The 22,544-nt window shown below is 36.5% G+C and overlaps 1 protein-coding gene and 1 long non-coding RNA gene across 8 annotated transcripts in view, besides 1 other annotated feature; one reads left to right on the forward strand and one right to left on the reverse strand.

Moving 5' to 3' along the window:
- The window catches only part of LOC105375704 (uncharacterized), a 177,474-nt gene extending 172,931 nt beyond the window's left edge, over positions 1-4,543 (reverse strand). The window contains exon 1 of one of the 3 annotated variants that reach the window (XR_928530.4): positions 4,441-4,543. This is a non-coding gene — a long non-coding RNA (uncharacterized LOC105375704). Of the gene's footprint in view, positions 1-4,031 lie in introns of all 3 variants that reach the window. The other 2 variants (XR_928529.3, XR_928528.3) reach the window with 2 other exon arrangements.
- Positions 4,529-4,648: a silencer, noted in NCBI's record as "silent region_19467". NCBI's record gives its function as "represses an Ori minimal core promoter by ATAC-STARR-seq in GM12878 lymphoblastoid cells {active_cell/tissue: GM12878}" and the evidence as "EXISTENCE:reporter gene assay evidence [ECO:0000049][PMID:35858748]".
- EMC2 (ER membrane protein complex subunit 2) overlaps positions 4,695-22,544 on the forward strand; it is a 45,573-nt gene continuing 27,723 nt past the window's right edge. For 2 of the 5 annotated variants that reach the window (NM_014673.5, NM_001329494.2), the window contains exons 1-5: positions 4,695-4,769; positions 10,894-11,007; positions 11,499-11,563; positions 14,133-14,218; positions 16,944-17,001. In NM_014673.5, the coding sequence (NP_055488.1) occupies positions 4,730-4,769; positions 10,894-11,007; positions 11,499-11,563; positions 14,133-14,218; positions 16,944-17,001 (363 nt within the window). In that variant the 5' untranslated portion in view covers positions 4,695-4,729. Of the gene's footprint in view, positions 4,770-7,232; positions 7,373-10,893; positions 11,008-11,471; positions 11,564-14,132; positions 14,219-16,943; positions 17,002-22,544 lie in introns of all 5 variants that reach the window. The other 3 variants (NM_001329495.2, NM_001329493.2, NR_138033.2) reach the window with 3 other exon arrangements.

The raw sequence follows: 22,544 nt of genomic DNA on the forward strand, positions 1-22,544 counted from the left end.
TTGCAAAATCAACTAGAATAGTATTATGTTCCATCCTGTGAAACAATGTACATTGTATAAATGCCATAAAGTTTATTAAATTTAAGAGGTTGCTTTAGTCCTTCACAATGTCTGAAGATATTAATTGAATTAAGTGAACCATAAAAAAAAGTACTCTAAAGTTCTCTGTGGACTAATTTGGCTTATATCCTGTGAAATAATGTACATTGTATAAATGCCATAAAATTTATTAAATTTAAGAGGTTGCTTTAGTCCTTCACAATGTCTGAAGATAATAATTGATTTAAGTAAACCATAAAAAAGATGTACTCTAAAGTGCTCTGTGGACTAATTTGGCTTATATCCTACCTCAAAGAAAATGTGGGCTTATTCGAAGTTTTTCCTGTATCAATCTAGTTCATTCCGATTTATTGTCATTCCAACTCTTCAAACATAATCTTCCAGGAAAAAAACCAAATCACAATTTAGCTTCACATAAAAAAAATTATAGACATTTTCATTGTGCTGTTGATATCATTAAGTGAGATAATGCTTCCCGTGGTGTCTGACACATCTTATTCATAATGTGGGTACTAGTATAATCTAATATTTGGCTGCCTGGACATTTCCTTGGTATTTGTCACCAATATTGGGCAATGTTCAATCAGAAAAACTGGACTAAATATTTTAAACACATGTGAATGAAAATTTTCCCAATGAGTGAGAGAGGGAGAGGCAAAACTTTGAAGACGTCTTGTAAAGGAGGAGTTACAGAAGGTAAAATTGATGTTTATGTTTTCAGTGTTACAGTTTTATTTATAGAAGGTTTTTTTATTTAGTTATAATTACATGTTATACAATGTTAAAGAATATAGAATTCTTGTCACTGACATACCAGTTTTTTCCTAAGTGTGCCTGAGGAAGGCAAGTTTTATTAGACATGCAAAATGTTATAATCTATAAGCAATCATTTTCCCCACTTCAGAGTACTGTTGGTGACAAAATTTCTCCTAAATATATTTTTCTCATTAATATTTTATCTTTCATCTACGATCTAAACAACGGATCTCCATATGAATCACCTATCTTTGTTACCTGCTAGTGGCAGAAACTTGGGCAAATCATTTCACTTTAGGGCCTCAGGTTAGGAAATACGATATCCATTGGTGTTTTTTAAACTATGAGTCATGACCTCATTTCTGTGTCATACCAGTAGTTTTAGAAAATAAAATGTAGCTGACAGAATTTGAATAGAAAATGTAGGGGACAAGACACATGACAAAGCTAGTTTTTAAATTTTGTCTCAGTTTTAAATACATGTACACATACTATGTGACAATGCAAAACATATTCCTTTAGTATGAGTTGCAGGAAAAAGAGGTTTGAAAAATATTATTCTCAAGATTCATCAGCCCATTCTAACTCGAAAATGAAATTACTCTATTTTCCAGCTTAGAAATTCTGAAAATGATGACTTTTAACTCAGTGTCATACGGCTTATTGCTTGACAGACAATAGTAGCTAGCTATGGGATATTTAGTTGAAGTGATTAGAAAATATGTATTCCCTCAATTAGCTGTAACCTTTAAAATCCATTGCAAGGCTTTAAAAATACCTCCTTGGGCTTTCCCAGAGGTTTTAGACCCCTCAAACCAACCAATGAAATGTTAAGTGTCAATAATTTCATGAAAATATTAAGTGTCTCTTGTATGCAACATATTGTAGTAAGGGCTGAGAGAGAAAAAAATGAATTGGTATGGTCCCTGAATTCACTGAATTTATAATTTTTAGGAAAGTATCGGCTATAAAAAGAAAACATCCTATGCTTAACTAGAGTTCATATGTGTACTATTAAGAAATGTTATTCTTAATAATCATTAATATAAGCTGTCATTTTTAATCTGACTCATTCATTCAATAAACATTTTTACTGTCTCCAGGTATTTTTCTAGGCTGGATGTTCCAAGGTTAAAATAACAAAGTTGGTACTCTGAAGCAGCTTAAAGTGGTGTAAAATACAGAAAGTAAGCAAGTAAACAAACAAAAAATCAAATAGTGATAAGTGTCATTATGATGGATAGGCATTACCTAAGGGCTACTTTTTATTGGATGGTCAAGAGAGGTCTATGAGTAGATACACTTAAAACTGAGATATGAATGACAAAAGGAAGATGGTTTCTAGGAAAAGGAAACAGCTGGGCAAATGCCAGATACAAGGCAGATAGGATCTTGGTCTGTTTGAGGAATAGGAAGTAGATGAGAATGGCTGGCGGCTAGTGAGGAGAAATAGAATAGTAGGAGATGAGGTAGGAGAGGTAGACAAATGTCACCTGGTTGAGTAAAGCCTTGTAAACCATGGTAAAGTGTTTGAAGTACATTTTTATTGCCATGGGGAGCCATTTGAGGCCTATTGCCAAGGGACTTCTGCAGTCTGATTTTTTTTTTAAGACCAGTAGGGTTGTTGTATAAAAAAACAGATTTTACACAGCAAGAATGAAACAAAGGTGGCTAGGAAACTATCACAATCATTCAGAAGAGACGTAGTTGTGGCTTAGATTAAGGTAATAGCAATAGATATGAAAAGTAGATGAACTTTGGGAAGTGCAATATAGAATTTGCTGATAGACTAGATATGGGAGGTGGTGCCAAAAAAAGGAATCAAAGGTACTTCCTGTAATTTTAACTTGTGCAATTAGGTAAATGGTTTCCTCACCTATGACAGGGAAAAACAAGGTGGGAATGCGGAAGGTGACAGCAGGAATCCGCAGTTCTGTGTGGGATATGTTAACTTTGAGATGCGTATCAGCTAGCTATCTGAGTACGTCAAGCAACCAGACTGGGTTTTGGGAAGGTTTATCAGTTTGGGACTGATCAGCATATAAACAGTATTTCTAGACATAGGATGGTACCTCCATGAGAGTGCCACGCAGGGGCTTTAGCTGCAGCATCTGTTTTTATCTTGATTAACAACACAAGGTAGCTATTTTCTTTTTACACACATATTATTAGATTTTTATATATGAGCCTTTTTGATGTTTAGAGAGAAATAAGCTGAAAGTCACCCAGCTACTGAAAGGTAGAGCCTGGATTCAGATCTGGGAGTTCTTGTTCTTCCTATTGCACCAGGTTGCTTTACTGGAGCATTAAAATATGTGAATTTCTGAGTATTTTTTAACTTTTTGAATGAAAGATTTTTAAAAAGTCTGTTTAGAAAGAATGCCAGCTCATTCAGAATTGAATCCAAGTATATACATTCACTAGTCTTCTCTGTTGTTAAGTGACTTCTCTGGGGTCTATGGTTTGATGGTTTTTTTCCTTTTTTTAAACAAACAAACAAAAAAACCTCTGCGGTTGACTGGAGCCGACAGGTGAGGAATGGAGAGATGTTGGTCAAATAGTACAAACTTTTGGTTGTAAGATGAATATGTTCTGGAGATCGAATGTACAGCATGGTGACTACAGTTATAATTCTGTATTGTATACTTTGAAGTTTGCTGAGAGATTTTTAAGTGTTCTCAACACACACACACACACACACACACAGGAAATATGTACGGTGATAGATGTGTTAATTAGCTTGCTTGTGGTAATCATTTCACAGTGTATATTTACATCTAATCATTACTTTGTATACCTTAAATATACACAATTTTTGTCCATTACACCTCAATAAAGCTGAGAAAAAAAACCCTCCACTCTTTTGACTTGTGGGATAGTATTATTTCTACTTCTCAAATCAACTGCCCCTTCTTTACTGACCAATAACTTTCGGCTGCATTGCAGTGATTTTTAGTTTTTTCTCAGCTTACATATTTCCTCTACAATCTCATGTCCCCATTGCTTCAAATACTAAATATACGCTTATCATCCTCAAATTTTTTACTTCCTGTCCAGACATTTCTCCTTAAGTCTAGGAGATGACGTCCAAAGTTTCCTAAAAGCAATTAGTCTGGTGGGAAAGGAGGCTCCCCCATCCACCCAGGAGTAATGAGGAGCGAAGTTCAGGAACTGTGAAGGTCTCATTCGTACATTCATTCCTTATAAGTACTTACATACTCGCGACAGTTTGAAACCTAGTGTGGCATGCAGACATGGATGAAGCAATGACAGGCACGACGAGCGTTAATGAAGGGTATAAGCTAGCGCGAGGGCATTCAAGGGAACTTCAGAGCGCAAAGGAAGAATCCCACTTAGTCTCTCAAAACTTTGGAGTTTATCCGTTTAGTCGATTAAAAAGTGAACGGAAAGCAAATCCCATTACGGAAGGAGGAAAGTTGGGGACAAATAAGGGATTCGTGCAGAAGGCTGCACTGCGGCCGGCCATGAAGAGAATAAGGGTACTTAAGGGAGTGTGAAGAGAATGAACAAGCCTAGGTAGAAAAAACTGAAAAGCCAGGATTGACGGACACTAAAAACCCAGCATTTGTTAAAAATCCACGTCAACACACACACACACCTCACCCCGAGCCAGCACCGTAGCCCCGCCAGCAGCCAGGGTATCCTGAGATTGCGGGAGCGCCACGCACCGCCCACCTAGCTCCGTCCACCGTCCAGCTCGCTCCGCCCAGCTCGCTCCGCCCCCTTCCCCGAAAGCCCCTCCGCAGAGCCGCGTGCACGTGCGTGGCGGATACCGCCCCCTCTGCTCTCTTGGCCAATGAGAAAAAGCTACGTAACTCTCCACCGCCCGGTGGCGGGTCACGTGACTGCGTCTCCCCGCCCTCTCACCCCGCTGCCTCTAGGTTCTGGGAAGATGGCGAAGGTCTCAGAGCTTTACGATGTCACTTGGGAAGGTAACTTCGGGTGGGGGCGGGTGCGGAAAGACTAAAAGCGCTGGGAAGCCGTTCGGGAGTACCCGCTGCTTTCGGGGAGCTGGGTTCTCTGGTGTCTTTTTGGTACCAGAGCCCTCACTGTACGGGCCAAGCTGAGGTGGAGGCTGAGGCTGACCCTTCCCTTGGCCCGGACGCGTACTCTGCAGCGTTTCCCACGGTGTCTGCTCCTCGGTTGACCTGCCCTCCTCCGCGCCAGTCCAGCGTCCCGGGGCCGCTTTTATTTATGAGGCGGGCGGGAGGGACTTGGGGCTGGGGTTGTCGCACGCTAACTGGTTGCTGGGCGGTGCGGAAGAGGCGGAATAGGTGGTTACTGAAGCTTCTTTGGAGCCAAGAAACACAGGGCCTGTAAGGCCCTTTACTAAGTGGTGTGTAAGGATTACAGCTCTGTGCAGAAAAGCTGTGTAAAAGATGCGTGAACAAATGTGATTCTCATATGCCACTCTACATTTAGTTTTCTTCTTAAACCCGGGTTTCCAGTTTCTTTTCCTTTTAGTCTAGTCTCTGTCCCACTCCTTCTCAAAACACATTTACACACACAACACAACTTCTTTCTTACTCCCTACTAGTAGTTTCTTTTCTGAAGGGAAAAATAACTAATTAACTCTGGGCTACGTAAGTGCTTACGTGTGATGGTCACTTTTCCCTATCCTTAGTTGATCTAGAGTGGGATATGTTCTTTAAATCTGGGAACAGCCAAACCTTGGATCAATTCTGTGTGCTTAAGAAACTTGAGTTTCATTAAGGCGTGGAATTTGTGTAATTGGAATTCATATTCCCAGCATTTAACATAATACAGGAGACTTCAGTAGCTAATTTGCTTAACGAATGCCTTCTTGGGATGTTTTAATAATGACCTGAAAACATGTGGACCGAAAGTTGTATTTTCTGTTTTATCGTGAATAAATATATCAGTTATTATAAAGTTGTAAATCCGTTACAAATAAAGCAAAATTTCTTTGTACTTGAACTGAATTAAATGATTTATTGACTTTATGGCCTCTAGCACGTTGTGAATCTCAGTATTTATACCTGAATTGAGGGATTCCATTATATTAAACAACAGTGTTGATTTCTTACTGCAAAATCTTGGCTCTGTCAACACACAGTCCCCACTTCCAAGGAAGTCACAATCTAATGGAGAAAACAAACCTGTAAACACACAGTTTTAAAAGGCTTGTGTCAGGGTATCTTCCGTAAGCTGAGTCGTAGATAAATGGATGTTATTTTTAATGCTTTTTAAAAAATGTTTTAAATATTACATAATTTTTAGAAAATGCTATTATGAAGGTATGTTCATTATAGGTTTCCTAGATGATAGTAGCATATATAAAATCCTGAGGGACGAGTAGCTGTATACTACCAACAGACAAGGTGATTTAACTGAGTAATTGGACCTTACCCTGTGGTCATTCTAAAGAGGATTGATGTAATTAATTTGGAATAATAAATAATAACTACTACACAAATTTGTAGGAACAAAGAAAACATTTTAAAGTGCTTTGTAAACTGTTAAGTACTATATAAAAGGATGTGTTACTATTAGCTAGTGCTAATATGATTATGTCCTTCCTCTGTATGATCTGGCGGTTGCCCATGTCTCCAGCTTTATCTTGAGCCCTTCTCCCTCTCACTTTGTGAGCTGCCTATGCTGGCCTTTGTTGAATACCCTAAATTGCCATGCTGCTTCTTAAAGCTGGCACATGCTAGTCCTTCCACTGGGAGTGTTCTTCCCTCCTTGCCTCACTCTTGCCCCCATTAAACTTTATCATTTATCAATTCCCCACAAAGCTCACCTACTACAAAAAAGCCTTACTTGACCACTCTACTACCCCCTTCCCTTTCCTCATCCCCCACCAAAATTGAAAAAAAAAACCCAAACAATAAAATGAAGCAACAAAACACACCTGCAATCCTTCGATTATGTATTCTATTCTAATACTATTGAAGCACTTACCCAATTGTGTTTTGTTTTAAAATTTTGTCTCTCCTAAGATGAAAGGGACCAGGCCTGTTTCTTCACTGTCACTTCCCTAGAGCCTGACACATGGGGGCGGAGCTCAGTAATTATTTGATGACTAAATGAATTGTTAATGAGATTAATAATAAACACTAACACATTGTCAGAAAAGATTATAAGCCATTTTTCTAGCGTTGAAATAATTTCTTTAGTATCTTAGATACAGGTTTTAGTATCATTCTTCTCTTAGCTTGAAAATGACCTTTTTAGAGAAGCCTTCTCTGACCACCCTTTCCAAAAGCTCCTCCTTTCTCCCAATCTCCTGACTTTATCATATGGTCTTTTAGTTTTATTTGTATAATTTCACTATCTGAAGTTATGTGGATTTTCATCTTTTTACCCTATTATACTCTAAGCATTATGAGTATATAGGAACTTTATCTTTTTCTTTCTTTCTTTATCCTCAGTGCCCAGATCAGGCCTGGCACATAGGCATTTAGGAAATATTAGTTGAGTGATGAAGAACTCCAATATTTACTCCAAGAAGTAAATATTAGTGGAATAATGAAGTATAGTTCCAGTCATACACTATACTGCCTCAAAGAAGGTAGGAATCATTGGGTATCTTAAGAATTTACATTGTAATGAAGTAAATCTTTAGAAATATCTGGTAGTAATTTACAGATTGAATTTGGGTTGAGAGATCAGTTTGGAAGCTATCCTAGCAATTTTAGCATGGGGTGATGAAAGCCTGGGCATGGATAATAGCAGTGGAAATAGAGTAGAAGATGTAAATCTTCGAAATACTTCGAAATACTTCAAAACAATCCACAGGACTTAGATATACAAAACTCCCACAGTGGGAGTCAGAAACAGCACTAAAAAATGGAATGTCAGGTAGTATTAACAGAAGGTGGAATTAACAGAAATGTGAACATTGGGAAGGGAGGCCATATTTTTAGGAAATGAAGATGACTTGATTTTCGGATGCTGTGATTTTGAGGTAATGAGCTATCAAAGGTGAAAACATGTTTTCTTCAAGATGGTTTTATTTTTACAAATAATTTTTTTAGATAAATGTATTTAAGGCATTTCTAAAAGTAGTATGTGGTTAATAGTGCTACAAATGTATTTATTACAGCAGCACTCAAGAGTGTGGCAGGGTCAGCTATGTAAGGTGTATAGCTTAAGGTGTTTATAGGTAAAATGTTGCTTGTTTTGTAAGTTATATTTTCATACACAGTGTTTCTTGTTTTGTGTTCAGCTATTATATTTTAATATGTGACTGTGTGTCAGACTGCCGTTCTTAGAAGTTATGCTTTAAAAAAAGTTCTCTTTCCTATGAGTGTTTTTTCACAATAAGAAACACCTTTTACAAATTAACTCATACTCAATTAAGTATACCTATACATGAATCTTTGAGTGTATGTATAAACTGAAACCAAAGTTGCATTTACAAAGGATTCTAATGAGTATTGCTTCCATTCTGTTCATTTTGTTTCATTCTCCCCCACTGCCCCCCCACCCCCAACAGATGCTGGAAGAAATCCACTGAACCGATTTTATACCCTATTAATGGATTGTAATACACAGTTTGAAAAATACGTCTTCTGGAGCTCTGTGTGCATTAAAATAAATTAACCCTTTCCTTTTTCAAATCAGGTTGCCTTTTCTTTTAGAATAGCTGTTCCCAACAGCCTGCAGCCAATCTGACTAGATACTTTTATGGGACCATGAATAATTTAAAATTTATTATCCTGTAATTATCAACCTTTTAAAAGAATATGCTGGTTTATGTAAATGAATCTGTAAGTGGTATTTCCGAATATATAAAAAAATGAAGTGGAAAAGATACAGGATTGGAGGAAGTAGTTTTGGACTAAAGAAATCATAATTAAGTAGCAGGCATATTTTTCCATCTTTCAGAGGCCACCTCACTGCAGTGACATCTCATGCAAGTTGTCATGGAAGGAATAAACAGAACAATCATAGCGACTCTCTTAACCTTTGACCTTTAGCTCATCTCACAGGATTGCACAGTAGTTAATAAAATGTACAAGCAAGCAGTGAGAAGCTTACTTACATAGTATGTAATAAAATGACCTTGGCTTTGAGGAGCGAGCTTTTTGCAGGAAGGTGAAAGGGTAAAATGAAAGTTTTAAGCCACCTTTGAGGAAAGAGTGAGGGAAGAGCCTTTATTTCTTGTGAGAGGCTGAAACAGTTACCAGATTTTTTTAAAAAATAAAAGTAACTAGAATTTTTGTAGGGCTTCACATTTTATAAAATGCTTTACACGAATTTTCTAGTGTTTGGTGTCCTAAACTCAAGGGCCAAGCAGATGAAAATACATGTAGTTGGGTGAAAGACAATAGTGGTGCCTGTGAAGAACTGGTAAGTGTATACCCTTATCTAAGGGTAATCAAAATCAACTTAAAAACAAAAATATCCAAACTATTGTACGAACCAAGCAACTTTATATATATTTTATGTAATCTTAACTGCTCATCCCTGAGCTAAAGGTAATATTATCTCTATTCATTGGTATTGGAAACTAAGTACAGATTCGGTAAGTTATGTAAGGTCATGTAAAAGATGGAGTTTAGATTCAAACCAAGTGTATCAAGTCCATGTTCTTTCCAGTATACTATACGTCCTCTATGACTGGTGATATGGTTTGGCTCTGTGTCCCCACCCAAATCTCATCTTGTAGCACCCATAATTCCCATGTGTTGAGGAGGAGACCCACTGTGAGATGATTGAATCATGGGGACAGGTCTTTCCCATGCTGTTCTCATTATAGTGAATGGGTCTCACAAGATCTCATGGTTTTAGAAACAGGAGTTTCTCTACACAAGCTCTCTTTCTTTGCCTGCTGCCATCCACGTAGGATATGACTTTTTCCTTCTTGTCTTCTGCCATCATTGTGAGGCCTCCCCAGCCACGTGGAACTGCAAGTCCAGTTAAACCTCTTTCTTTTGTAAATTGCCCAGTCTCGGGTACGTCTTTATCAGCAGTGGGAAAACGGACTAATACAACCAGTTTCTTTTCTTTGAACTGTTTACTCCTTTCCAGTTTATCTTCTGGGGCTTTTTGTTTTGGTTTCAAATTTATTTATTTTTAAAATTGACATATAAAATTTAAAATTCTAGTGGTTTCTTTTTTTTTGCACCAGAATGATTTTCCTGTCAGACAGCCATGATTGTGTTGCTTTTCTTTTGCTCAGCATTTTTAAGTTGTTCTTCTGTACCTTTAAAAACAAACTTTAAAGTTCTCTAGTATGAAATAAAAGTCTTCCAAGAAACTCACTCTTCTTACTTCTTATACACTCATTTCCTGATCCTAGTGTGTTTATTTAATTCCCAGCTACCAGTAGTTCTTTCTGTATAGGATAACTTACTTTGTTATATGCCTGTTGAACTCCTTTTTCAACCTTTAAGAGACAGGGGTCTTGCTCTGTTGCTCAGACTGGAGTGCAGTGGTGCAATCACAGGTCACTGCAGCATCAACCTCCAGGCTCAAGTGATCCTCTCACGTCAGTCTCCTGAGTAGCTGGGACCACAGGCGGGTGCCACCATGCTGCCTTTTTTTTTTTTTTTTGAGACAAAGTCTTGCTTTGTCACTCAAGCTGGAGTGCAGTGGCACGATCTCGGCTCACGCAATCTCTGCCTCCTGGGTTCAAGCGATTCTCCTGCCTCAGCCTCCTGAGTAGCTGGGATTACAGGTGTGTGCCACCATAGTTGGCTAATTTTTGTATATTTAGTAGAGACAAGGTTTCGCCACGTTGGCCAGGCTGGTCTTGAACTCCTGGATCAAGTGATTGTCCTACCTTGGGCTCCCAAAGTCCTGGCATTACTGATGTAAGCCACCGTGCCTGGCCCATTCATCACTTCTAAAGATAGTCATAATACCAGTTGTAATGCTGTTTCAGTCTTCTAAAGGATCTGTTGCCCTTGTTCAATTAATTTTCTACTTTATCAAATTTGAGATACCACAGACTTCTACATGATTGTGAGTTTATTTTCCTTACCTAAAAAGCTGATTTTGTCTTGTCAGGTTTTTGACATCTATCGGATGTGTATGTGTGTGTCTGGGTACATATACACTTAAATGTCATGTTATTTTTTTCAGAAATGAGAGATAAAATGAGAAAATGGAGAGAAGAAAACTCAAGAAATAGTGAGCAAATTGTGGAAGTTGGAGAAGAATTAATTAATGAATATGCTTCTAAGCTGGGAGATGATAGTAAGTTCTTTTATTACATTCAGGCTCAGTACATGCCTCATTCATGGGCCTTTTTTTTTTTTTAACTGTTCTTTCATTCATGATTTTTCTACTTGTCATATTAATTTTCTTTGTGACTTTTTGTCCCAAGAATTTTAATGATAGTTTATTTTGAGAAGGATTTATAATTGCTTGGTAGTAGTAAGCTATCAAATAGGCATTTTGTTTTAAAGCTCACAGGGCTGCCAAATGTCTGGCCAAAATGTATTGTGTATGGACTCTTTTAGAACAGTAAAACTATTAAATAATTGGAGATTTTAACCTTACATTAACATATTTTACACTGCTGAAACATGTAAGAATGCATTCTTAGTTTCAGAGATAATACAATAAATCAGTTTTCAGTTATAAGTAATGTTCTCTAGAAATATCAGAAACTAGAATTCATTAATTTCCATTTGGGTTTGTTTTAATATTAAATTCAGTTTTTTTCCCCCTTTATGTGTATCTAGTTTGGATCATATATGAACAGGTGATGATTGCAGCACTAGACTATGGTCGGGATGACTTGGCATTGGTAGGTATTTAAATGAAGTATATATTTAATTTGCTTCATCAATTGTATACCGTAGTTAAGACTTAATGTATGGCTTATATGGAATGCTTTCAATAGCTAGTTTTGAGTGCTACTCTGAACAGTAAGTGGAACTAACTAGATATTTTAGGACAAAGTATCTTATATCTTTTTATTAGTCCTGAGAAGTAGCTGTTTAGTATCCCAGTTTTACTGTAAAGATTTAGTTACTGAAATTTATCTGCTTAGTAAGTGACTTATCCTATTTTATAGAGTTTAAAATAAGAAAGTTTAAAACAATTTTGTATTTTGTGTTATTGAATGACTTTCACAGAATGTAATGTTCAATACTGTTACACAATATTATAAACATATCTGACATAAGAAAATCCCGACGTATAGAACATAACATAAAATACTAATAATGTTTGGCCAGGCAAGGTGGCTCACACCTGTAATCCCAGCACTTTGGGAGGCCGAGGCAGGCAGACCACCTGAGGTCAGGAGTTCGAGACCAGCCTGGCCAACGTGGTGAAACCCCGTCTCTAGTAAAGATACAAAAAATCAGCCAGGCGTGGTGGAGCGTGCCTCTAGTCCCAGCTACTCTGGGGGCTGAGGCAGGAGGATCGCTTGAACCTGGAAGGCAGAGATTGCAGTGAGCTGAGATTGTGCCACTGCACTCCAGCCTGGGCAACAGAGCGAGACTCTGTCTCAAAAAAAAAAAAGAAAAAAATCAAACAAACCTAATACTGCTTTTAAAATAACACTGTAATGGTAGCTATGTTTTTGGACTCATGCTAGGAACGAAGCTAAATGCTTTACATCATGATTTTATTGAGCCTTCATAATTATTTCTTGATTTGATTTGTGTTTGATGTTATTATTATATTTATTTTATAAATCAGAAAGCAGAGGCATCTGTTAATGTTGTTCCTATCATCTTGAATTCTTAAGTACCGCTTCATGCTGCCTCTGTATTTAAACTGAAAGAAAATATGCAAAAACAAAAAATTGAAATACCTGAAAAAAATTCACATCTGAATTAGTATTGTCCTTTTCAAGGTTGGGTTGGCTATACATGTAATTCTAGTGGAGCTGTTAGTGATGAAAACATTCCACAAAACCTTTGTTGGATTACCTTCAGAACCTATGAGACATAGTCTTTTGAATATTCATAGAGGTGACCGTTTTATGTCTTGAGAGAGGTTTTTATTTTTATTTTTTTTGAAATAGCCAAATATCACTTGATAAAGTAGGAAGTCAAATTAGATAACACTATTGATTAATAAAGCAGTATACACAATTAAACAGTAACTTTATAATGGTTAAGATTATTTATACAGTTAGCTTGCTTGACTGACCAAGTAATATGATTTTGCTTGATATCAAAGAAATAAATGAACATATCTTCACTTTTGATTAACTTGAATATTTTTCTTAGTGTGGCAAATTTCAGCCACAAACTTTGAAGCTGTATTTCCAATTCATATTAAAACTTATTTTATTACCAGTTAATAGTTTCATCAGTAGTTAATGGCATTGTTTTGGTCACACATGCATTAATATGCTTCAGTGGACTATTTGTATCATCTTTAACATTTCTAGGACTTCCAAAACTTTGAATCCTTCATATGTTGCTGAGAATGTAGATACTCAGTAAATATTTGATTATTTATTTAGTCAAGTTGATGAGTCAATTATGGATACTTGTTCAAAGAAATTGGTATTCCATCCGTTTAATGTCTGTATTTTCTGACCCCAAATCAGGATATGTTGATTGAAAGGATGATTGATTGGCTGGGTGCGGTGGCTCATGCCTGTAATCCCAGCAGTTTGGGAGGCCAAGGCAGGCGGATCACCTGAGGTCAGGAGTTCGCGACCAGGCTGGCCAACATGTTGAAACCCCGTCTCTACTAAAAATACAAAAATGAGCTGGGTGTGGTGACAGGCGCCTGTAGTCCGAGCTACTTGGGAGGCCGAGGCAGGAGAATCGCTTGAACCCAGGAGGTGGAGTTTGCAGTGAGCCAGGATCGTGCCACTGCATTCTAACCTGGGTAACAGAGCAAGACTCCATCTCAAAAAAAAATAAGAAAGGTTGGCTGATTAATATAAAATTTCAACAGGGCAAAATTAATCAGTGTTTATGTTATTTGCTAGGAACTTGAGATGACTACTAAAAAACTTAGTTCTTACCAGGAGAATGCTTATGCTGTAATTAGGAAGAAAACGCCAGGCGCTGTTGTCATTTAAGTAGGGGCCTGACACATTATAGAAGTAGTTTTTAAGGAGGAATAATATGATATTAGTACTTAAAGAGTTATTAGTGGTTCTCATAATCTGTTCATTTTCCTGGTTAAGAGCATGATCAGTTTCTGAGAACTGATTGTTGCCTTCACTGTAATGTCATAGTGCTTCTTTCAATCCATTATTTGTTACTGATTAATTTCACTTCATGTTATTAGATGACACTAATGAAATTATTCAAGAAGACACATTGAAGACTATATAGGCCATCCATTGTAGCCCATTTAGTATAAATAATGTAATTACTACTCAACCCTTATTTTTTCAGTTTTGTCTTCAAGAGCTGAGAAGACAGTTCCCTGGCAGTCACAGAGTCAAGCGATTAACAGGCATGAGATTTGAAGCCATGGAAAGGTAACCAAATCTTATCAGCTGGCAGGCATGGAGCCTGTTAATCATGGTGGTGTTAATTTTTTTTTTTTTAATTCAGACATTCTAGAGTGTGTGGAATACTGTCTCAATATGGCTTTAATTTACATTTTTTGATGACTAATGAGGTTGAAAACCTTGTCATGTTTGCTTAGATATTCAAATAACTTCTTTTTGAAGTATCTTCTTTAGTCTTTACCCATTTAAAAAATTGCGTTATTTTACCTTTTTTACTGCTGATTTGTAGGAGGTCTTTATATATTCTGGATAAAAGCTTTGTCAGATATATGTGCTGTGAATATTTCTCCCTATTCTCTTGCTTGAATATTTTATTTTCTAAATGGTGCCTTGTGAAGTTTTTAGTTCTGATGAAGTTCAGTTTATCATTTTTTTTTTAATGCTTAGTCATTCTTTTGTCCTGTCCAATAATTCTTTTCTAATGTTTCAACAATATTCGGTAGTGTTTTCTAGACAATAGGAACATTTAAATTATGATTATTTTTAGTTTGTAAGAGTGCTTTCAGACTATTTTTCTTTTTGCCGTCTTTTAAAATTTTATTTTCAGTACTTCTAGATAATTGATTGTGCTGTACAGTTTAACTGTGTCCTTATATTCTGCCTATTATGTCTGTTAATTATTAACAAAGGAGTATGGAAGTCTCCAACTTTAATAGTGGATTCATCTATTTCTCCTTGCAGTTCTATTAGTTTTTGCCTCATGTATTTTGATGTTCTGTTGTTAGTCACATAATAATAAGGATTGTTGTGTTTTTCTTGAGAATGAGCCCTTTATATTATGTAATGCCTGTCTTTATCCCTACTGATTTTTCTTGCTCTGAGGTCTGCTTTGTCTGAAACTAATAGAGCTCCTGAGCTTTCTTTTGATTAGTGTTACAGCATATCTTTCTCCATCCCTTTGTTTTTATTCTGTTGTATCTTTGTATTTAGAGGGTTTTGTGTAGACAGCATTTAGTTGGGTCATGTTTTTAAATCCACTTTGATAGTCTCTGTCTTTTCATTGGTATACTTAGACCATTTACATTTAAAGTGATGATTAATAAAGTTGTTTCATTATCTGCCATATTCATAACTATTTTCTATTGATTGCTCTTGTTATTTTTTCTTTTGTCATTTGTTTTCTGCCTTCTCTGATTTAATTGAGCATTTATAGAATTTCGTATTTTCTCTCTCTCAGTGTATCAGTTATACTTCTTTTTAAATTTTTTAAATAGCTGTCTGAGAGTTTGCAATATATATTTAGAACTATCCAAGTCAACTTTCAAGTAACACTATACTGATTCACAGTTAGGGCAAATACCTTACAACAGAGTATTTTTAATTCTTCTCTTTCGTCATTTGTAACACTGCTTTCATTCATTTTACTTATTCATAAATCATAATCACCAAATATATTGTTGCTGTTACTACTTTGAGCAAACTGTTATCTGATCGATTAAGAATAAGTAAAATTTTATTTTACCTTTATTTATTCATTTTCTAATGCTCTTTCTTTCTTTATATATTAGAACCTTCCAAAGGTTCTAACCAATATTATTTTCCTTTTCTCTGAAGAGCAGCTTTTAACATTTCTTGAAAGGCAGGTCTGCTGACAGCAAATTGCTTTAATTTTTGTTTGTCTGGAGTATATTTCTCTGTCACATTTAATGGGCAGTTTCTCAGGATACAGAATTCTAAGTTGGTTTTCTCTCAGAACACTTTAAATATTTCCCTCTACTCTTTTCTTGTTTGCATGGTTTCTGAAGAGAAGTCTGATATAATTCTTATCCTTGTACCTGTATAAGTAATGTGTTTTTTTCTTCTGGCATCTTTTAAGATTTTCTCTTTGTTTTTGATTTTCTGTAATTTGAATTTTATATGCGTTGGTGTAGATTTTTTGCTATTTATTCTGCTTGATGTTCTTAGAGCTTACTGGATCTGTAGTTTTGTGTCTATCATAAGTTTAGGAAAATTTTCAACGATTAAACATTTTCTATATTTCTTTCTTTTTTCCCTTCTAGTATTCCATTACATATATATGACATCTTTTGTAATCGTACACACTTCTTGGATATTGTGTTCTATTATTTTTCTCTTTTTATTTCAATTTTGAAAGTTTGTATTGATAATTCTTCAACCTCCTGACTCTTTTGAGTTATGCCCAATCTACTGATAAGCCCAAGCCCATCAAAGGCATTCATCATTTCTTTTGCATTGTTTTTGATTTCCAGTATTTTCTTTTGATTCTTTTTTAGAGTTTCCATCTCTGTTTACATTACCCATCTGTTTTTGCATCCTGTTTACTTTTTCCATTAGAGTTGTGAAAATACATGTCATTGTTTAAATTCCTAGTCTGTTTATGCCAGTACTTCTACCATATCTACATCTGGTCCTGATGCTTGTTCTGTCTTCAACTTGTGTGGCTAGTTTTTACTTTTGTACTTTGGACAAATTGAATCAGTATTTTTTTAAGGGAAATTTTCTATAAGTACTATATACATGATTTGCTTTACTTAACAAAATAAGAATGTAGTAAACGTTTACTGTTATATGAAGATGGAAGACTTCGGTAACGATTATAAATGCATTTAAAGCAATTATAAATGCATTTAAATTAAAATATTAAAGCCAGTTTAATTTTTTTCTGTATTTACTATTTATCACTATATTTTTAAGGTAATAATTGTAGATGTTTCTTTTTCTTTTTAAATAGATATGATGATGCTATACAGCTATATGATAGGATTTTACAAGAAGATCCAACTAACACTGTAAGTTGGCAGATTGTCTTGAAAAAAATCTAAAGTTTAATTTAAAAGATAAAATTAATCGAGGAAATAATAGATACATAAGGAACTAGGTCTTATATTTTTAATTTTTAATTAAAAAATATTTTTATTTTTAATTTTAAATAGTTCATGATGGGCCACAGTTTATTTTAAATAGATTTAAGACTCTCCAATAAAATTTGACTTCTCACCCTCACCAACAGGGTGAAACCCCATCTCTACTAAAAAGCAAAAATTAGCTGGGTGTGGTGGCATGTGCCTGTAATCCCACCTACTCAGGAGGCTGAGGCAGGAGAATCCCTTGAACCTGGGTGGCAGAGGTTGCAGTGAGCTGAGATTACGCCACTACACTCCAGCCTGGGCGACAGAGCAAGACTTCGTGTCAAAAAAAAAAAAAAAGAAAAAAAAAAAAACAACTTCTAGAAGATACCGTATTAGAGAAGGGGCTAGTTGAGATTTGGAAAGAGTAGACTATGTGTTTGCATAAAATATTTTGAAGTTTATGAAATACTGAATTGTTTAATTTGTGCAGTTACTTTTTAGTTGTCTTAATGAAAAAAAAGCCATTTCAATAATTAGTATATGGAATTAATGAAGGCATTTTATTTTGTTTTTGCTTTTTTCTGCCTTATACATGAATAAGAAGAAACATACCCCTTTAATTTAGTGTAATTTTGAACAAGTATATTAGTTTATTGGATAGAATATTTGTTCTGAAGATACCTATATAGTAGTATTTGTTTGAAAAATACCCTGGTGAATTCTGTTTTTGATGTTGAGAACATTATAGTTTATTGCCATAATAGATTCCCTCAGACTTAACCTTTTAACTAAAAAGTTACAGAGAGACTTTAGATAATACATCAGTCATTTTAATGTTTTATGTCATTATTTCCACGCACACATATGCCTGCTAAAAGAAAATAAGTATTTTTAAAAATTTTAAACAAAAACCAGGTTGAGTTTTTTTCTTTTATAGAAGGAGAAATTGTTGTATTAACACAATAAAGATACATGAAGTTTCTCTCTTATTTGGCAAGTATTTCTTTAAAAATATACATTAAAAAATCTTATATAATGTCTGACTGTAGATTTTAAGATGTAAAATGCTTAATAATTTAACAACAGTAACTTGATGTCTGTAGTTTCTAGAGCACATTTATCTCAGGCACTGATCATAAATCCCTTATCTCTGCTTATTTCCTTTGATATTCTGTAATGATACTTATGTATTATAGTAGTTGGTATGTTTCTTAAATGATAGTTGCTTACTTTTAGTCTTTTCCCACCCCAGGGAGATTTTCTGTGGAAATTCCCTAGGGTTTTTGTTTTTCTTTTTGAGTGGGTGTGTGGGGGTTTGTGTAGGGATGTGCGTGTGTGTGCGTGTGTGTGTGTGTGTGTGTGTGTGTGTGTGTGTGTGTGTGTCTATGTATTAGTCCATTTTCATGCTGTCTATGTATTAGTCCATTTTCATGCTACTGATAAAGACATACCTGAGACTGGGCAATTTATAAAAGAAAAAGGTTTATTGGACTTACAGTTTCTCATGGCTGGGGAGGCCTCACAATCATAACAAAAGGCAAGGAGGAACAAGTTAAATCTACTGTAGATGACAGCAGGCAAAGAGAGCTTGTGCAGGGAAACTCCCATTTTTAAAACCATCAGCTCTCACTATCAGAGACTCTTTCACTATCACAAGAACAGTGCAGGAGATACCCGCCCCCATAATTCAGTCACCTCCCACTGGGTTCCTCCCATGACATATGTGAATTGTGGAAGTTACAATTCAAGATGAGATTTGGGTGAGGACACAGTCAAACCATATCATTCTGCCCCTGGCCCCTCCCAAATCTCATGTCCTCACATTTCAAAACCAATCATGCCTTCCCAACAGTCTCCGAAAGTCTTAACTCATTTCAACATTAATTCAGAAGTCCACAGTCCAGCATCTCATCTGAGATAAGGCAAGTCCCTTCCACCTATGATCCTGTAAAATCAAAGGCAAGTTAGTTACTTCCTAGATACAGTGGGGGTACAGGCATTGGATAAATACAGCCATTCCAAATGGGGGAAATTGGCCCAAACAAAGAGGCTACAGGCCCCATGCAAGTCTGAAATCCAGCGGGGCAGTGGAATCTTAAAGCTGCAGAATGATCTCCTTTGACTCCATGTCTCACATCCAGGTAATGCTGATGCAGGAGGTGGATTCCTATGGTCTTGGGCAGCTCCGCCCCATGGCTTTGCAGGGTACATCCTCTGGATGCTTTCACAGGCTGGTGTTGAGTGTCTTTAGATTTTCCAGGTGCATGGTGCAAGCTGTCAGTGGTTCTACCATTCTGGGGTCTGGAGGACGGTGGCCCTTTTCTCACAGCTCCATTAGGCAGTGCCCTAGTAGGGACTCTTGTGTGGGGGCTCTGGCCCCACATTTCACTTCCATACTACCCTAGCAGAGGTTCTCCATGGTAGCCCCGCCCGTGCAACAAACTTCTGCCTGGACATGTAGCCATTTCCATATACCCTCTGAAATCTAGACAGGGGTTCCTAAACCTCAATTCTTGACTTCTTTGCACTCACAGGCTCAACACCACGTGGAAGCTGCCAAGACCTGAGGCTTGTACCCTCTGAAGCCACTGCTTGAGCTCTGTGTTGGTCCCTTTCGGCCACAGGGGGAGTGGCTGGGATGCAAGGCACCAAGTCCCTAGGTTGCACACTGCACGGGACCTTGGGCCTGGCTCATGAAACTACCTTTTCCTCCTAGGACTCCAGGCCTGTGATGGGAGGGGCTGCCATGAAGACCTCTGACATGCCCTGGAGACATTTTCCCTTTTGTCTGTGGAATTAACATTCAGCTCCTTGTTACTTATGCAAATTTCTGCAGCTGGCTTGAATTTCTTCTCAGAAAATGGGGTTTACTTTTCTATTGCATTGTCAGGCTGCAAATTTTCTGAACTTGCCCTGTTTCCCTTGTAAAACTGAATGCCTTTAACAGCACCCAAGCCACCTCTTGAATGCTTTGCTGCTTAGAAATTTCTTCTACCAGATACCCTAAATCATCTCTCTCAAGTTCAGAGTTCCACACATCTCTAGGGCAGGGGCAAAATGCCACCAGTCTCTTTGCTAAAACATAACGAGTCACTTTTGCTCCAGTTTCCAACAAGTTCCTCATCTCCATCTGAGACCACCTCGGCCTGAATTTCATTGTCCGTATCATTAGCATTTTGGGCAAAACCATTCAACAAGTCTGTAGGGAGTTACAAACTTTCCCACATTTTCCCATCTTCTTCTGACCCCTCCAAACTGTTTCAGTCTCTGCCAGTACCCAGTTCCAAAGTTGCTTCCACATTTTCAGGTATCTTCAGCAACACCCCACTCTACTGGTATCAATTTACTGTGTTAGTCGGTTTTCATGCTACTGATAAAGACATACCCGAGAAGACTGGGCAATTTACAAAAGAATAAGGTGTATTGGACTTACAGTTCCACATGGCTGGGGAGGCCTCACAGTCATGGTAGAAGGCAAGGAGGAGCAAGTCACATCTTACATGGATGACAGCATGCAAAGAGAGCTTGTGCAGGGAAACTCCCATTTTAAAACTATCAGATCTTGTGAGACTCATTCACTATCATGAGAACAGTGCAGGAAAGACACGCCCCATAATTCAGTCACCTCTCACTGGGTTCTTCCCATGATGCAAGGGAATTGTGGGATTTCCAATTCAAGATGAGATTTGGGTGGGGACACAGCCAAGCCATGTGAGAGAGAGAGAGAGAGAGTGTGTGTGTGTGTGTGTGTGTGTGTGTGTGTGATTGTTTTGTTCTAGATAGCTGAGAACTTTCATTATTTTGTGAAGATTCTCAGAATATAGAAAGTTCAAGGAAAAATTTTGACAGTTGCAAACCTATCTGTAATAAAAAATAAAAATAAGAAATAGCTTCTATAAGCTAATGTAGATACTGAGAATAAAACGTTAAAATTGGAAAGTTTTTGAATGATTTCCTAATCTAACAATTCTAATAGCTTACTGTCTTAGTTCAACAATTTCTTAGAAAAAGCACCCATTTTTTTCTGAAGATTTTCTCCTGTACTTATTTCTTATTCTTAATTTATAAGACTTCACTGTGGTTTCAAAGATACTCATTTTTCTCTTAGCCATAGATTGAAAAAACTGAAATCAGATTTCTGAAAACAACTTCTGAATTTTATATTTCTCATCCCAGGTTAAAAATCGATGGAATTTAAGTCAATTTTGGAATTAGGAGTACAATATTTTGATTCTGTCTCAGTTTACATTGGGAATTTTTAATAAGTTATTTCACTTCTTCAGACTATAAGATAATATGTGATTAATTATTGCTCTGTCTTTGTAGTATCTTTCATATTTTATGGCTTTTTGTGACTTTTAAAACTGGCTAAAAGAGAAATCCAAATGGTTCCCCTCATAGAATATGTGTGAAGTGGTACAGATTGAACATCCTTAACCTGAAAATTTGTAATCCAAAGTGCCTCAAAATTCAACACTTTTTGAAGAATGAAATAATGTCACAGGTGGAAAATTTCACCCCGATCACATGTGATGAGTCACAGTCAAAACACAATGAAAACTTTGTTTTCTGCACAAAATTACTTAAAATACTGTATAAAATTGTTACCTTCAGGATATGTGTATAAGGTGTATAGGAAATGTAAACCAATTTTGTGTTTAGAGTTGGATCCTTATTGCTGTGATATCTCAGGTATACAGAAATATTCCAAAATTTGAAAATATCTGAGATGTGAAGCACTTCTAGTTTCAAGCATTTTGTATAAGGGATACTCCCTGTAGTAACTAAATCCCTTAGCGGTTAGGTAAACATTCGAGAGCAAAGCGACTTAATTCAGCTTTGCTAAATGTATTATTCTTGTATCAAACATGATCTAATCTTTTTTCAGTCCCTTCTTTCCTTCTGTAAACATGTATTGAATACCTCTCATGAACCATCAAAGAGTTGCTCTTAGTAAGAGTAGAGATACTGTTTCTGTTCCTATATCCTTAGGAAGCACTGTGCTAGACATTGAAGGAGAAAACATAGCCATAAAAGACCTAGAACTAATAAAGTCTATAAGTAGACTTCACTAATATGCAACAGCTAAAGTTACTCCACAGAAGACATCGCCGTTTCTTTTTCCAAAGCAACTTAGTATCTCAAAGGCGGGAAAGTCTAGTTTTATTCTCATTTACTGTTGCTCCCTGCATTGTTGAAAAGTGATCACGTGACCTTTTATTTGTCTTATGCCTCTGTGTTTCTGGATATCCAGTATAGAAATGAAGTTGTTCATTGAAGCTTTAAGCAGCTGTACTTCCTATTCACATGCATTCATTATTCTTTCAGAGAACATTTGTTATGCTTGCAGTGTGCATGGTAGTGAGAACAAACACAAGGATGAATTAGCCTTTTCTGTGCTTCTAGTGAGGTAGCATGATGTGATGAACATGCTGTAGACTTTGAAACTGATTTATTAAATTCTCTTTCTTTGATGACTTGCT

The sequence above is a fragment of the Homo sapiens genome, chromosome 8 (assembly GCF_000001405.40).
Source record: "Homo sapiens chromosome 8, GRCh38.p14 Primary Assembly".
Lineage (NCBI taxonomy): Eukaryota > Metazoa > Chordata > Mammalia > Primates > Hominidae > Homo > Homo sapiens.